The sequence below is a fragment of the Homo sapiens genome, chromosome 3, assembly GCF_000001405.40.
Source record: "Homo sapiens chromosome 3, GRCh38.p14 Primary Assembly".
In the NCBI taxonomy this organism is placed as follows: Eukaryota; Metazoa; Chordata; class Mammalia; order Primates; family Hominidae; genus Homo; species Homo sapiens.
In genome coordinates, this window is record NC_000003.12 from 2,406,961 (window position 1) to 2,425,319 (window position 18,359).

At 36.6% G+C, this 18,359-nt stretch overlaps 1 protein-coding gene across 31 annotated transcripts in view, besides 1 other annotated feature; it reads left to right on the forward strand.

Moving 5' to 3' along the window:
- The window catches only part of CNTN4 (contactin 4), a 959,094-nt gene that overhangs the window by 308,095 nt on the left and 632,640 nt on the right, over window positions 1-18,359 (forward strand). The gene's annotated exons all lie outside the window — the stretch shown is intronic.
- Window positions 11,871-12,040: an enhancer, noted in NCBI's record as "experimental_68954 CRE fragment used in MPRA reporter constructs". NCBI's record gives its function as "activates a minimal promoter by MPRAs in K562 erythroleukemia cells, with activity observed for both the introgressed and non-introgressed 3:2460600 variant alleles {active_cell/tissue: K562}" and the evidence as "EXISTENCE:reporter gene assay evidence [ECO:0000049][PMID:34662402]".

Consider the following 18,359-nt stretch of genomic DNA (forward strand, 5'->3'; position numbering starts at 1 on the left):
GAGAATGAGGAACTACAAATTTGAATCCAAAGTCTTAAATTCCAGTTGCACTTATTAGGATTTTTTTACATGAAGCAGATATTAAAATTAAGCATGCAAGATATCTTTCTTCGTCTAACTCACATATTGAAGTGAACAACTTTTATTTAGGGAGTTTTTATACAACAGCGGACAAGGGAAAATTTAGCTCGTGTTATTTTGAAAGTGGCAGGAATAAATGTTTGATTAATAAGATTACAGGCATATTTGCATCTGGAGAGAAGGTTCATAAAAGAGTTATTTTTACTTGTAATTTATTTAGCTTGAAACAGAGGGAAAAAATTGAGATTAATCAGTTGTCAAATACCTTCTGAGAAACCCAAATATACTTAAAGAATCATGCTGAGATCTGACATACTTCTAGGTTTTTAAAGGAATTTTTTTTTTCTTTTTGTTTTTGTTTTGGCTAATCAGTTTATGAACCACTTTGTCTATGGGTAAACCAAGATCTGATAACTCTCAGAACAGAACTTTCATAAATCTGTCTGTGGAAAAATGCCTCAAAACATATAAAAATCATAAAATAAAGGGAACAAATATAAAGAACACTGGAGAGGGATTTGGGTGTTGTGTCTGTATTTTTGCAGTCTTAGCTTCATGTGCTGCCTGACCACATACTTCGTACTTGCTTCCTCCTCTGTCATTTGAGATGTTATTTGGTTGTGAGAAGGTGGAAATAGCACTGTATGTTAAAATTGATTCCCAAATGCGTCAAAATGTCGTATCTGTGGTCTGATGGACAACAAACAAATGCAATCATGAAAAGTTATTCCCATCCTGACAAGACTTTAAGAAAATCCACTATTTTGAGAATGGGTAAGTTAAAAAATTACTACATAAAATAAATCTTCCCTTCATGTAATATTCCCTATGTGATGAGTCTAAATTGTTGGCAGCCATACTCCTAATAATACACGTATGTACATATCTGTGTGTGTCTATGCACATTTTAAATACTTGTGACATATTTATTTAAAGTTTATTTATGAGCAGTATGGTAGTTTAAAAGGATTATGAAGGTCATTCTGTGTGTCAAACGTTGTTTTAAGAAGAAAGTATCTGAAATAAAGTAGCACTTATTTGTTGCTTTGTTTTTATTCTGATTGCAGACAACTGTGTCATACAGTATATGACCAAGTAGATATTTTTCTGTACATCCTAAGAGAGGGCTTGGACTAGGCCATTTCTGTATTGATATCCTGAGACCTACATATCCCTGGAGACCAATTACAAAGGTTCACAAGGTTGTTTTTATTTTGTTTTCTCTTGATTCCTTTTTAATGAGGTCTCCCAGTAAACAGCAAGCATGATGCTTTCCTGTTGGAGGCCTGTCTGCCGCCTTCAACCATTTATTACTAATTCATCTGGGAAATGATTTATAAATTAAATATTAGGAAAATGTACTTGAGGAAAAAAGTGGTAAGAGGTACAATTTATAATTCTCATTTAGGAGAAAGTCATGCCAGCAGTTTGCTAATGGAAGGATGCTGAGAGTCACTCATAGAAATACAGTTGTGGTTTATGTAATAAATAGAGATGTACATGAAGAGAATCTTCAATGTATATTTTTGGGCATGTGATTCATTTTAATAAATTGTGAAGACAGAAGTTCCCAATTTTTCTCTTCAAGTGAACCCTTGGAAAATTGGGAAATAATAAAGAGCAGAAGTGACCTATCAATATGTGCTATCTCATAACTCCTCCTCATGACAAAAATATAGTATTTATCAATACTAGGTGAAAATAGCTTCATCATAGAATAAAATGTGGTGTTAGTAGATGTCAGTGTCATCATAGATTTGTGCAAGAAGGGATTCCAGATGCTATTTTAGAACAATCTTCTCATTGTACAGATGATGAAACTGAGGTCATCCCTGTTTATGACTTACCTAAGGTCTCATAACTTTTAAGATATTAAATTTTTGAGATTATTTATAAAGCTTCAAGATTTATTTTTGCACTTGTAGGCAGTTTTTGTATGAAAGAAATCTGCTTTTCAGCTAATCAGTCAGATTAGGATTGTGTCTTATGAGAATATCTTTTACATTTGCGTTGTTGAAGGAAGATGAACAATAGCTGTGTCTCTACACCCAGAATTAAAGAGGAACAAAATTATAGCTTTGGAATCATCTTCTAAAATTTTATTAATTCCAGGGAATTAAAGCACACTCATCTTGCAGGTTTTATTTAATAAAAACGTTTGTTACTTTTTTTAAAGTTCTGAGTAATTTCTAGGTATCTTTTCTTTTCTTTTTTTTTTTTTTTTGAGATAGTGTCTCGCTCTGTCGCCCAGGCTGGAGTGCAGTGGCATGATCTTGACTCACTGCAAGCTCCGCCTCCCGGGTTCAGGCCATTCTCCTGCCTCAGCCTCACGAGTAGCTGGGACTACAGGCGCCCGCCACCACGGCTGGCTAGTTTTTTGTATTTTTAGTAGAGAGAAGGTTTCACTGTGTTAGCCAGGAGGGTCTCGAATTCCTGACCTTGTGATCTGCACGCCTCAGCCTCCCAAAGTGCTGAGATTACAGGCGTGAGCCACTGTGCTCGGCCTCTAGATATCTTTTCAATACTGCTATAGTGGTTGCATTATAGCAATCATTAATCTCAAAGATATAAGCAGTGAATTCATAACTGTGAAATCATAACTTTGTGGTTAATATTTTTTTCTGATCCCATTTTAATCTTTTTAAAATTTCATTTCTGTTTGAATATTTAGACTGTACTTGAATATAAATTTCAAACATAATTAAGCACATGTTATCTTTATTTAAAAGATGAGGCATATGTATATTATCTATGTATACACTATTTAAATATGTCCATGTATACATAAAATTATATGTTATATGTAATTTTCTAAATTATATATATATACTGAAACAGACAGATACAGTTTATGGCTGATATTTTCTGGTGAAAATAATTTACCAGTATGGGTTTGTTGGTGTCTGGCTGTCACCACTAAGAAAAGATTCTACTGGGTCATTATAAAAATTTCAGTTTGGGGGAATGTTAATAGAAATTAGCCATATTATAGTTTGGACAGCACCTATATGCAGTTTCATTTACCGATATTAACTTAGCACATGCTGGTTTATGAGGGGAAACAGAATTCAGTGGTGCACATTTAATCATTTTTCTTTATCTAATTTAAATCATATTCTTCTTGATAAAGTGTTATCTTGGCCAATGTAAGAAGATGGAGGACCCTCCCATGAACTTTGTGGGACAGACACTGAAAATCTGTGTTGACAGCATGTCTCTAACTCATCCTTCTCACAACATTTGCTGTTGGAATAGAACAGAGAATTCTGTAAGAGTCATAGTTTTTAGATAAAGATTGTTACAGAGGCATAATAATTCCAGAAGATTTCCATCTTCTAACAATCTCTTGAAATCAATAATAAAGACAATGGCTTTCTATTCGTCCACTTTACCACATCAGGCAGTGGAAATAGAAAATGATATAAAATTAATCCCTTCTCTTGACAATTGTAAAATGGTAATCCTCCATTTTATCCTCTCAGAGGATATTTGAAGATAACTTTTTTATTATCCTATTTTCATATTCTGTCTCATAACCTCATATATTGTATAGCCCATTTCATTGCTGGTGGTCAAATAAGACTGCGGTAGAAAGCCACAGGTAGGTTACTAGGGTTCTGAAGAATGTATCAGCACAGAAAACCAATTTCAGATATATTTTCAATGTTATTGCTTTAGAATACATCTCCTTTACTGAGACATCAAAAATCAAAGACTAGATGAGCTCATTCATGTGAATAAGCTTGGGGATAAATTACCTCTTTCTAGTTTCATATTAAAAGAGCAGTAGCATAGTCAGCCTGACTGTGGGATCTTGGTCAAGCAAAGCTAAATGTTCTTTTCCTAATTTTTCATATTATTTAAGTGTAGTGTCAGAACTATTCCTTAGTGTCTTTGTTAGTTTTGCTCTTAACTGTAGTCTCATGTGTTCAGAATGAGCACCAGCCAACAAATACAGACAAATGCAATATTTCAACTGTACTTTACATATAAAAAGATGGTGTTAATACACTCTCTTCTGTGGTTATTATGTAGTTTACTTACAAACTGACATGCATTTTTCTCACTTATAAGTGGGAGCACGTATGAGAACACACAGACACAGGGCAACACACACTAGGGCCTATCGGGGTCAGGGGCAGGATGAGGGAGCACATCAGGATAAATAGCTAATGCATGCAGGGCTTAATACTTAGGTGATGGATTGATAGGTGCAGCAAACCACCATGATACACATTTACTTATGTAACAAACCTGCACACCCTGCACATGTATCCCAGAACTTAATAGAAATTAAGCTAAAAAGAAGAAAAACTGATATGCATGATGCATGCTTATTTCTTCAGAAATATTGAGATGTTTATTTAATAGATGCCATAAAGCTACCTGAAATCTAACTAAGAGAATCCTAGTTTACTGCATTTGTTGGCAAAAAAGTAGACTATTGATATAAAATATTTTGAAGTTGCAGCCTTACATGATTGCCCTGTTTAGTTTTTTGGAATGTCTTTTCATAAGGAAGTTTGATTCTTTAAACTTGGAATTCCAAAATTCCCAGTACTTTCAATCAATGGACTAATCGCTTCCCTGCCTGCTGCCTGCCTGCCTGCCTTCCTCCCTCCTGCTCTTTCTTTCTTCCTTTCCTTTATAATAAAAAATCAAGTTATTGGAAAAAGTATTGAGTCACTTTATTCTTTGTGTCTTACTATGTAAGTTTCAAATTTTTGTGCCTTTTTGCTTTTATTCTGTCGTTGCTGTATTTCGAAGCATCGTTTTCCCCTTTTCCATTGAGATGTAGTATACATAATGTAAAAAACCCCTTAAATATTACGTTTCATCTATTGCTCCATATATGTACTCATGTAACCACTACCTTGATCAAGATAGAGAATATTTCCATTAACTTTAAAAGTTCTCTTTTACTCCTTGTCTGTCAATACCTCTTCTATCCTGAGGTAATTTGTCTTCTGACTTCTATCACCGTAGATTAATTTTGCTTGTTCTTGGACTTCATATAGGTGGAATCCAAAAGTACGTACTGTTTTATGTCTGGCTTATTTTGCTCAACATACTATTTTTTGAGATTCTTTTGTATTCCATGTATCAGGAGTGTGTTCTTTTCATTGCTGTATATTATGTCATTATATGAATATATCGCAATCTCTTCATCCTCCTCCTAGTGATGAATATAACTGAAGCAAATTTACAAATACTTTTTTTTTTTTTGGAGGCGGAGTTTCACTCTTGTTGCCCAGGCTGGAGTGCAGTGGCGCTATCTCGGCTCACTGCAGCCTCCTCCTCCCGGGTTCAAGTGATTCTCCTGCTTCAGCCTCCCGAGTAGCTGGGATTACAGGTCCCCACCACCATGCCCAGCTGATTTTTTGTATTGTTATTGGAGACGGGGTTTCACTATGTCGGTCAGGCTGGTCTCAAACTCCTGACCTCAGGTGATTTGCCCTCCTCAGCCTCCCAAAGTGCTGGGATTACAGGCATGAGCCACCACACCCGGCCCAGTCAACAGTTCTCGTGTCAGATGGGTGTACCCACGTGGGGTTGTGGTTTGCTCTTCTAATTCTTATGCAATAGTAATGAGTCTTTAAAACAAAATCCTGTGTTTGAATGTTCTTGAAATCTCAGAAATTATCTAGCAAATAACAGGGCTTTTTTTTTTCACTGCATGTGTGCATCATACGTATATACCTTTGTAACTGAAAACAAAAGGTAGAATCGTATAGTAGTTAGGATAGAAAGCTGTAGAATCAGATTGCCTGAATTTGAATTACAGATATTCTACTTGATATTGTGTGAGTTGAGGCAATTTATTTATATTAGCTGTATCTTGCTTTTTAAAAAATAAAAAAGGATATTAGAACCTTCCTCATAGAATTGTTTTGGTGATTAAGTTAGACTTTACCTTCAGAGTAGACAGTAAGCACTCAATAAATGTTAACTGTTATTGTTCCAAGTATGTACATTATTTTTATTCAAAAATGTGTGCAGGATTCCATATGATTCTACAGGATTCCATATGATTCTACATACATATGCATCGTTAAAATGTACTATGTAGATTAGGTTGATCTAATGACTGTCTTCTCTAACCAAAATTGTCAGAGGGCTAACTCTTCTCACTCATTTTGGCTCTTGTATCTCTACTTTAGTGGAACCAAAGTGAATGATAACAACCAGAGAGAGATTGCTTCTTGACTACAAATAATGAGATACTCCAGTTTAAATTAGTTCAACAATGTTCTTGATCAAATCATTCTCAATCACTTATTTTCAGAATCCAGATATTACTGCTGTGAATAACAAAAGAAAACTCAAATTTCTGTTCTTGAAGCATTAAGCCTCTTGATATTGGGAAAATGGTGTTAAGTGTGAAAGAAAGACAGCCATCTAATTTGTTGGACATCTAGGTGTGTCATGCTAAATTCTTTAGATTTGAAAAATAAATTTTTCATAGTATTTTTCTATTCTGAAAATATTTTTATATAAACCATGATTTCTTTTTTTTTTTGAGACGGAGTCTCCCTTTGTTGCCCAGGCTGAAGGGCAGTGGCGTGATCTCGGCTCACTACAACCTCCACCTCTCAGGTTCAAGTGATTCTCCTGCCTCAGCCTCCCAAGTAGCTGGGATTACAGGCACACACCACAACACACAGCTAATTTTTGTATTTTTAGTAGAGACGGGGTTTCACCATGTTGGCCAGGCTTTGGAACTCCTGACCTCAAGTGATCCACCTGCCTCGGCCTCCCAAAGTGCTGGGATTACAGGCATGAGCCACTGCGCCCGGCCCATGATTTTTAAAATAACAAATTTAAATTATTTTTCTGACTACCTACCATTTATAGCTGTAAGTGTGGATTCTTTCAGTTAAATATTTAACGTGTTTGGTGCCAACAACTCAGTATTTAGCCTAATCCCTATTTCAGAATCCAGAGTCTATATTGGTGCCATTCGTTGAATACCGAGGATGGCACAGAGCTAAACCTCCATCACCCCATAGACAGTGGGGACAGTGCCTCCAGCATACGAATGATATAGGTAGAGATATGGCTGCAAAATGGTAGATGTGACTTTCTGACTTGAGGGATTTCAGGGTTTTCTAACAATGTAGGATGGTGGGTAGATACCAAAGGTCCATGGCTTTCATAGACCAGTGATGATACTTGAATTATTTATGTAAGTGTTTCATCCCTCCTATTAAACTGCACCTTCTTTGGGAGTAAATTTTAGGTATTAATTTGTTTCTTCTACACCATTTAGCATATTGCGTGCGCTTAGTAGATCCCACATAAAAATTTCTCATTAAATGAAGTAAGCATATAAGCCTAAAAAGTACAGTGAAATTTTTTAAAAATGCCATTTTAAAAGAATATGACAACAAAAATGGCATATGTATGCATTAAATAAATATGTAAAATGACTCTCAATAAAATGTTAATTGTGTAGTTATTTTTGGCTGGGAATTCAAGTGATTAAAACTTCTCTTTTTTGTAATTATATCACTTGTTAATAGTAATTGATATTATTTATATTATCAGAAACAAATGAATATGATCATAGTAGATTATAAAGGAAAACATAAACAAACCATTAACTGTAGAAAAATCAAAATTTTCAAAGCTACTTTTCCCAAAATTATCATACCTAGACATTCAAGGAGTTGATTTTGTTTTGTATTTAAATTTTTCTATAGTATGGAGAAAGAAGGAATATTCAAAATTATTTTTATAAAGCCACCATTACATTAATACAAAGATCTGCCAAACACAGCCCAAAAGAATATTTCAGATCAATTATACTTAAGAATATATGTTCAAGAATCCTAATTTAATTCATCAGATTATTTGTACATTAAAGGAAAAGCACATAGAAAGAAAATAAACATTGAGTGAGCCTCGTTGCAAAACTCTTCTGATATTTCAAAATTGGGAAGCAGTTTCCTTTCCATGTAAATCATTATTTCCAATATATTAAGTATAATACAAGTGTAGGTTTAATCAATTTCTATTTTGGTAACTCATTTAAGAGCATCACTATTTTTTATACTGTGGATGAGGTATTCTGACTTCTCAGTTGCCTTAAAAGAGTGCCAGGGAGTCATACTGCAGTGTTAAATGTGCTCTTCTGCCTTGCATTCATGCTAAGAAAACCAGTGTCTATTATGTGGCTCCTCGCTTTAGCCTTCTCAGCATGAATGACCATTCAAGGAGCAACAGTATTTTATAAAAGTATTGATTGTGTTGGTTTGTAAAGGGCCCCATAATGTTCTTCCCACATCAAACCTGTGCTCTCTGTGTAAGAGAACCATAATAGCTACAGCCTCCTGGTAATGTATATGAATTGTACAGAATTTCAGTTTATGGATCAGCTTTGTAATAGTGCAGAGTTTCACTTGGCTTAACCAGGTGTGGGCAATTGTTGGGTGCCTTTAAAAAGTCATAACATTTCCAGGGACAGGGATGTAATGGGTCATTTTATAAGAAAGAAGAAAATGTATTAAACGTACCACATTATTTTTAGTTCAATGGTAGGTGTAAGACAGAAAGTACGTTTGCTTGGTATACATTTCTGTGGGACCCAGTGTTTGGCTTTGGTCTGCTAATTTCCTTTGCCTTTTCCTATTTAAGTTTTTTTCTTTTATTCTTCTATTAATAATATGATTTCTATAAGTTTCAGAAACTTTCTAAACAATAAAGTACTCCATTTCTGCACTATTGAGGTTGATGTTGGCCTTATTTATTCTCACCTTTTTTTTAAATTTGGTTTTTGATTTGGGATTTGGGGTGGCGCTGGCTTATTAGCGTTCTTGGTTGCAGCACATTTTCCTCCTTCAGTAACAACTCTAGAAGCTTAATAACCAAAGTTATAACCTACATTTGTTTTACTGTGCTCTAATACTCTTAACTACCGGGCAGATTTCAGTATAAGGTGAATTGGCATGAGAATTGTTTAGTCAATCAATAGCCATTTAATAAGCATTTGGTTACATGTTTTGGAATTTTTAAGAGACATATAAGATACTAGTGTGCCATGTTCTCACAGAGTGAACAATCTAGGGAAGCAAGAAATATATATATATATATGACAATGGTTTTAGGTAATAAAATAGAACTTTTAAAATAAGTTATAAGCTTATTTCCTCATAGTGATCATTCCATATCACAGGCCACCTGCATCCTCCATAAAAGAATAGGATTCTTAAATTTGATGTTTAATAGATTGTGTCACTTTACATTAGCCCTAATTAACTTTTTCCTAGTAATTTTGTGACCTTCAAAATTTACTTAATTTATCAATGCCATTAGTTTTTCATTTTTAAATTGGAGATAGTAGGAATATCTGCGTTATATAACATATGTAAAATGTAATTTAAATATACAGAAATGAAAATTGGGAGGTAATCTAACCATCTTGTGTTACATATGAGGAAATCAACACACTGAAGTAGGAGGCTTCCCCAAAATGGAATATTGAGCTTCATTAGTGGATATTACATTTGTTGACTCTTCATGTTTCCTCATTGGAGTTTCCAGATGCCACTCTTGCTTCTGAAAATCGTGTATGACTTGTGATGTAACAAAAATCAGAGGGCTTTCCAGTGTCGCAACTTTCTTTTTTTTAGGACGGAGTCTCTGTCTGTCGCCCAGGCTGGAGTGCAGTGGTGTGATCTCAGCTCACTGCAAGCTCTGCCTCTCGGGTTCCCGCCATTCTCCTGCCTCAGCCTCCCGAGTAGCTGGGACTACAGGCGCCTGCAACCTCGCCCGGCTAATTTTTTTGTATTTTTAGTAGAGACGGGGTTTCACCATGTTAGCCAGGATGGCCTCGAGCTCCTGACCTTGTGATCCACCTGCCTCAGCCTCCCAAAGTGCTGGGATTACACGCGTGAGCCACCGCGCCCGGCCCAGTGTCGCAACTTTCTATGGTATAAGAGTTACTTTGTTTAGCAGAAGTCTCACAGTTTGAGAATTAACCTTCTCAGTGGAGAGCTGGCAGACTGGTTATAAATAAGGGCTTCAGCTCCCTTAGTGTGGGACATGCTGCCCGCTCCCTTCAGGTACTTATCTGTCCTGGACCAGACAGAAGCACATCTGCTTTTCATTTAGCTTACTTCCATTTCTCCACTTCCTCTCTTTTGTCAGTGTTAAAGCTTAAAATGATGAAACAATCCAGCAGTTATCCAACTACAGATAAATAACTGCTGGACTGTATCATCGTAGACAGTTGGTGAAAAATTCTAGACCAGAATCCAGTCCCTTCAGTCTTGTATTCTTTCTAATGTATTGAGAACAAGACAGGAACATTGATTACCTATTTTTAGCTGGTTTCAAAAACAGTAACCTCAATTCCACAATCAAGATTTGGATTCAGAAATACTGAGTTTGCACTGAGCTCTTTCCTGCTTCACTTTGGGGTCATGAGAAAGGCTGTGAATTTCTGCTTCATTCCGATTCCCTCATTTTAATAACCTGCCAGGAGACCTCTAGGGGAGTGATTGTAATAAACTAGCTAATAAAATGAGATTAGAACCTTCAAAACTAAACATCCTCTTATGATACAATCCAGCAATCACACTCCTTGAGATTTACCCGAAGGAGGTGAAAACTTATGTTTACATAAAGACCTGCACACTGATGTTTCTAGCAGCTTTATTCACAATTGCCAAAACTTGGAAGCAACCAAGATGTCCTTCAGTAGATGAATGGTTAAGTAAACTGTGGTACACCTAGAGAATGGAATAATATTTGGCACTAAAAAGAAATGAGCTATCAAGCCATGAAAAGACATAGAAGAAACTTAAATGTGTATTACTAAGTGAAAAAGCCAATCTGGGAAAAAAGCTATATACTTTATTATTCCAACTATATGACATTCTGGAAAAGGTAGAATGACTATGGGAAGAGTAAAAAGATCCGTGGTTGCCAGGGATTTGGGGTGATGGAGAGATTAATAGAGCACAGAGGATTTTTACGGCAGTGAAACTAATCTATATGATACTATAATGATAGATACAGATACATGTTATTACAAATTTTTCCAAAACCATAGAGTGTAAAACATAAGAGTAAACCCTAATGTAAACTCCGGACTCTGGGTGATAATGATATGTCAATGTGGGTTCACTGATGATAATAAATATACCGCTGGTGAGGTATATTGATAGTTCAGAGAGGCTGTGTGTATAGGAGGGCAGGCATATATGGAAAATCTCTGCACCTTCCCCTCAATTTTGCTGTGAACCTAAAGCTGCCTAGAAAAAATAAAGTCTGTTAAAAAATCACCACAGAGGCAAAATGTGAGATTAGAACAACCTCTTCAAAATAATACACAGAAAGTATTTACAAATGCTAACTAAGACATAGGGTTCAAAACGTAAAACTGCTCACAGCCCAGGTACTAAAATTAGATCAATCTAATCATTAGATACTCAATCATTAGATACAATAGAATTTGCCCCAGTAGCAAATGTTTACTTTTGATTCTGTTATACACTACTTAACATGGTCCAGTGTCAGCATAAGGCTGTAATTTGGCGATTGCATTTCTTTATTTAATAACTGCTGATAAAGCTGAAATAAAGAATCAGTAAAAAGGTTTCACTTTTGTAAAGCACATCCAGGGTTTATAGGAAAGGAAATATTTCAGCATTTCTGATATATAAAAGAACAAAGGTGTTATATTAAGAAAAAATAATACATAAAACAATATCAGGGACATTGAATTGATGAAAGTAATCAGTAACATTTTAAATCCATGTTGGCTTGCATTGTGAAAGAAGGGAATAATTTACAGTTCATGATATTTGTATTTAGATGTTTGTATTTTTATTGTGTTTAGAGAATCCCAGGAAAGGAAAGAATCCTACAACCCGTAGGATGAAAAAAGCTTTGGATCTCATGCCAGGACAAGGGCACTGATGCCCAAAAAGATAAAGGCCTTCCTCAGAATCTTATGGGAAAAGTCAAATTATTTAAAATTAGCTCCAGGGTTCATGAGTAAGATTAATTGGTAGAAGTTAAATGGCTATATGGTTCACGTTTAAAAATAATTTCTAAAAATTGGATACCCCTTATGAGAGAAAATATAAGTGGCTTTGAGTAATAGTTTATATTCCAATTATTGCAAGTAATCAATCATATACCAGGTAATTTCCTGACATGAGTTACATACCAAAAATTATATTGGATGAAAAGCTCGAATGAATATAGGTAACATTCCACTCTAATGTAGCTTTCTGTATCTTAGAACATTCAACTTTATTAAGACTTTATAGTTTTTAGGAATAGAGTTAATAAAGAACTTGGAATCTTCTATCAAGAAATAAAGAGGTGGGAGTGGGGAGATCTACCTCTGGAGATTCTCATGTGTTCAGGATATATTCAACGTTTATTTGTTCCTAGGCAGGGTACAGAATAAACTGATACCCGTAAGTCCATTCTAGCCCAATGTTTCAAAAAATGCTGGCATTTTAGTGAAATGTAATATGGATAACATAAGGTAACATTGCGAATAGTGAAGTCTGCAACTAAAAGATAAAGCATTTAAATGTCAAATAGCATTGTGTAAATAAATCTAAAATGAAATTTTCAACCAGTTTTTAAAACTTACTTCCACTAACAAACATAACATAGTGTCATGCAGAAGATGATGAGGAAGCAAAGAATATGTTAAGGAAACCTGTAGAAAACCAAATGCCTTCTTGTATTAAATGAGTTTACCATGTCTTTCAAGGAATAATCATGTTTATACAAATGTGTGTGGTTTCCAGGACCCATTTTTCTTTTCCTTCCCTATACATGCAAACATATACAAATATATCAGCTCACATACTTATTTCCCTGTGGTTTCAGACTATTAAATGTTTATAATTACTCTGCTTGATGACTGTAATTTTTAGTTACAGATCGAATTGTCCCAGGTGTGGATGCTGCCAAAAGCCACGGTCATTGGCAACATGACATCTGGAAGACAGTCTGGCATGTAGAGTCAGGGAATTTGCTAGAAGTTGTTCCTCATACAGTGCAATAGTACAAGCAAGCATTGTGACTCCCTGCAGCTGGTGCTGTCAGTGCCCTATCCATATGCCTCAGACCTTTAATTGTGTTTCTGAGGAATGCTTCTAACTCCTAGTATCTGCAGGTTTGTTCCTCAGCACTTTTTCCAAAAACTGTGGGAAATTGCACTGCTTATATGCACAAGTGAGCTTCATATAAGGAGAAAGAAAACCCTCTAGGAATAGTTCTTAATTAATGACTCTCAAGAGGTGCTGTATAAATACCAACTTCTCTCACCTCTCTGGTGGGATAACTCTGTGAGGTGTGCTTTATGTCATGTCAGAGTTTCTCTGCAGGATTGCCTGCTATATTCACTGCTTGAATAGAAAATTCTTTTTTTTTTTTCCTTTGAGACAGAGTCTCACTCTGTCCCCCAGGCTGGAGTCCAGTGGCACAATCTCGGGTCACTGCAACCTCTGCCTCCCAGGTTCAAGCAATTCTTGGGCCTCAGTCTACCGAGTAGCTGGGACTACAGACATGCACTACCATGCCCACCTATTTTTTGTATTTTTAGTAGAGACACGGATTCACCATGTTGGCCAGACTGGTCTTGAACTCCTGGCCTCAAGTAATCTGCCTGCCTCTGCCTCCCAAAGTGCATTGCAGCTGTGGGCCACCGCGCCTGGCCAAATGTTCTTTACTGGACGCCTTCAATCCCCTTGTCATTTCCTCATTTTCTTTCTGGCCTGCACTTCTTAAACTAGTTACACTGTAATACTTGTTTTAGAGTCTGCTTCTGTGATTAACGTTTCTGATCAGTAAAATGGCATAGCACTGCTTACCTCAAGAGATGGCCGTATTTTGTCAGAGAAAGAATGTACTTCACGTTTTGCCTAATAAAGTAAACGTTCAGGACCCAGCAGTTGCATTTTAAATGATCCCAGTGTTTGCCCTGTTTTTGAAGTACACATGTGCTTCTGGGAAAACTCAAACTAAGACACACCCCACACCCAACTGGCAAACACATGCCCTGTTGAAAGAGTCTGCAGAAGAGTCCTTGCTTCAGGTACATTTTTCACATTCCAGTCCCAGTTTAGCCCTCCCCCATCACCTTAATGACCACCATTGCATAACAAGCAATGCCTTCTTGTGAGGCATTAGAGGTGACTAGGAGTGAGCTTTAGGGTGGGTACCCTTCAGGGGGTTTCTTTTTTTTTTTTTTTCCTTGACTAGGAGTCTGGCTCTGTTGCCCAGGCTGGAGTGCAGTGGCGTGATCTCAGCTCAGTGCAACCTCTACTCACGGGTTCAAGCAATTTTCCTGCCTCAGCCTCCCGAGTAGCTGGGATTATAGGCACTTGCCACCATGCCCAGCTAATTTTTGTATTTTTAGTAGAGACATGGTTTCACCATGTTGGCCAGGCTGATCTCAAACTCCTGACTTCAAGTGATCTGCCCACCTTGGTCTTCCAAAGAGCTGGGATTACAGATGTTAGCCACCGCTCCCAGCCCCAGCCTTCATATTGTTTATCTTGATTTCTTTTTTCTTCTCTGTTGTAGTGGATAGCACCAGACAATCAGTAGTTGAAGCCCTTTTCACATCTTCACTGGGCATTCTATTAAATGACATATGTGTTCTCCCCAAACTCTAACATCTGTTCATTGAAAATAGGGCAAACACCAAGACCATTTGTAATACAATTGCTGACTATTGAATATTTACTTTGTTAGAAAAAATGCTAAGTACTTTACAATATTTCTCTGCAATAAAACTCATCTTTTGAGCTAACAATGCTATTCTCATTCTACTAAGGAGAAACTTTAGTCACAGAGAGATTAAATAATTTGCTCAACAACACACAAGGAAGTAAGAGTCTGGGAGAGAATTTGTACTTTTCCCTTCCTTTTAGATGTCATTCATAAAAAAAAAAAATTAGTGTACCTGATTTTGTACTCCTAGCCACTATTTAATCCTGCCTCTGTAATTAGCTTTTATGGATAAGTTTATCTTTCCGTACTCAGAAAATAAAATAGTAAAATAAAAAGGCAGCACAAGGTGTCACTAAGTGGCTTTCACCAGAGGTGAAGTTGTACAGAATTAGAGAGGGGTTTTAACCACATCTAGAGCACTGCCCATAGAGGAATGCAGACCAATTTCTGAAGTCAATTTGTGTTATCCCCTGCTCCTTAACCTGGGTTCCAATACCAGTTACATTTAAGGAACTCTCCTTCCCCCTCTTTCCAGACATTTCCATGGTAGAAACACAGTAGTAGTTCAGGAGTTAGGAGACCTGGGCTTTAGAGCTTTTTATAAAATGGGATGTCTGAATTTGATAGTGTGCAATGTTCCTTCCAACTCCAAACAGATGTTGTCATTTTCACAGCCTCTAGAAGCCACAGGTACCTTCTCAATTAGAAGTTCTAAATGATTTGTAATAGTGAGCACTATTTGGATTCCTGACAGCCTATATCAGGAAAATAAGCAAAGTTTTGGATCAAGTGCTTATATCTAAAGCCATTGCTTTATAAGCTGGTCTTCACTGCCAATTCCTTCTTCCCTATAGATTGTTGGTATTTCTGGTCTGGATGGGTTACAAGAATTTATTTTATTGATTTCCTGAATCTCTGTACATCCTTAAAATAATTCAGAATTGGAAAGAAATACATTTAGCTCTTTGTCACATAGTGTAGAGATCTTTTGACATAAAGAGAGAGCTGCTGATATTCTGTTTCCCCTAATGCCTGAGTGTGGCATGGTTTCAAAGGGTTGCTTTATCACATGTAGACATGGAGGGACCATCAGGTAATGAGATATAACATTTCCTGGAAATTAATTAGTGGTGTGTTGTCCAGGAACTAAATTTCTTTTACTCCTGTTTGCCACCTGTCCTGGATGTCTAGTGCCGAATTTGAATTTCCATGCCAAACTGAAAAAGCAGCATTGGCTTTAGTTGCCCTCTTTTTCACATTAACTTAGGGTTTTAGCATGTAAAGCGACTGCGTTGTTTTAGTGGAATGAACTTAGAATGAACTTCAACAGTGATGAACTGATAACCAATTAAATAAATAATTGATTCATCTGAGAACAGTCTGACTCCTAGAAGTGGTGTTCCTAAGAAGCTTTTGTGTAACTGCCCTCTGGAAAGCCTCACAAGTTGTTGCCTTTCTTTCTTTATTTTTTCCAAATGGACAATTTTTGACAAACAAACTTCTAAGAGCAGTCAAGTGTCAAATACAAAGTTATGGCTGGTGCAGCTGCCTTTGGGATCACACGCTCCATTTATTCATTATAGAAAGCTCAGATGCACAAACATGTGGTGCCATTTTGTGTACCTGTCAGTTTAGTGCGTTTAATGAACATTGATCATGCTCATCCAGACACACTTCTCGATGCTGCAAGCAGGAAGTCAGTGGTTTCTGAAAGACAGGGTGAAAACTTGTTTTTTTTTTTTTTTTCAAATGTGCCTCTGTGGAATCCTTTTTGCCCAAAATAGATGCATTAATAAACATGACTAAAATGTACCTTAAATTCACTACAAAAGAGAAAAGATGTTGATGAAAAATTTGCTCTGGTTTTGCTAATATTAAGTCCAGTATTTGTCTACTTAAAGTAGAAGTTTTGATGACTTGGATAATCATTAGATTGCTATCTAGCTATTTGTAGTTTTGTAGCATCATCTGTTCCAAAACTGATTTTTTGCTCTCTTTTAATACCCTGTTAATTACAAAACCTCCTACTGGGTAGTTTTACCATACATAAATTCTGTCAAGTACTGCTGAATTAATTGGTGCCGAACATCGTTCCGGTCTATGGTGGGAGTAATAGTTCTTATTTTCTTGCCTTTTAATGTTTGGACACAGGAAAAGGAATATCACACACCAGGGCCTGCTGTGGGGTGGAGGGAGGGGGTTTTTTTTGATTAGGCAACATACCTAATGTAAATGACGAGTTAATGGGTGTAGCACACCAACATGGCTGTCAAAATTCCTTTCAAAATTCTCATAAAAGAGGTAGTTTAGCTTCTTTTTTTAAATTGTATTATACTTTGAGTTCTAGGGTACATGTGCACAACGTGCAGGGTTGTTACATACGTATACATCTGCCATGTTGGTGTGCTACACCCATTAACTCGTCATTTACATTAGGTATGTTTCCTAATGCTATCCCTCCCCCCTCCCTCCACCCTACAGCAGGCCCTGGTGTGTGATGTTCCTTTTCCTGTGTCCAACTGTTCTCACTGTTCAATTCCCACCTATGAGTGAGAACATGTGATGTTTGTTTTTTTGTCCTTGTGATAGTTTGCTGACAATGATGGTTTCCAGCTTCATCCATGTTCCTACAAAGGACATGAACTCATCCTTTTTTATGGCCGCATAGTATTCCATGGTATATATGTGCCACATTTTCTTAAGCCAGTCTATCATTGATGGAGATTTGGGTTGGTTCCAAGTCTTTGCTATTGTGAACAGTGCCGCACTAAACATATGTGTGCATGTATCTTTATAGCAGCATGATTTATAATCCTTTGGGTATATACCCAGTAATGGGATGACTGGATCAAATGGTATTTCTAGTTCTAGATCCTTGAGGAATGGCCACACTGTCTTCCACAATGGTTGAGCTAGTTTACAGTCCCACCAACAGTGTAAAAGTGTTCCTATTTCTCCACATCCTCTCCAGTACCTGTTGTTTCCTGACTCTTTAATGATCGCCATTCTAACTGGTGTGAGATGGCGTCTCATTGCGGTTTTGATTTGCATTTCTCTGATGGCCAGTGATGGTGAGCATTTTTTCATGTGTCTGTTGGCTGCATAAATGTCTTTCTTCTTTTGAGAAGTGTCTGTTCATATCCTTTGCCCACTTGTTGATGGGGTTGTTTGACTTATTCTTGTAAATTTGTTAGAGTTCTTTGTAGATTCTGGATATTACCCATTTGTCAGATGGGTAGATTGCAAAAATTTTCTCCCATTCTGTAGGTTGCCTGTTCACTCTGATGGTAGTTTCTTTTGCTGTGCAGAAGCTCTTTGGTTTAATTAGATCTCATTTGTCCATTTTGGCTTTTGTTGCCATTTCTTTTGGTATTTTAGACATGAAGTGCTTGCCCATTCCTATGTCCTGAATCGTATTGCCTAGGTTTTCTTCTAGGGTTCTTATGGTTTTAGATCTAACATTTAAGTCTTTAATCCATCTTGAATTAATTTTTGTATAAGGTGTAAGGAAGGGATCCAGTTTCAGCTTTCAACATATGGCTAGCCAGTTTTCCCAGCACCATTTATTA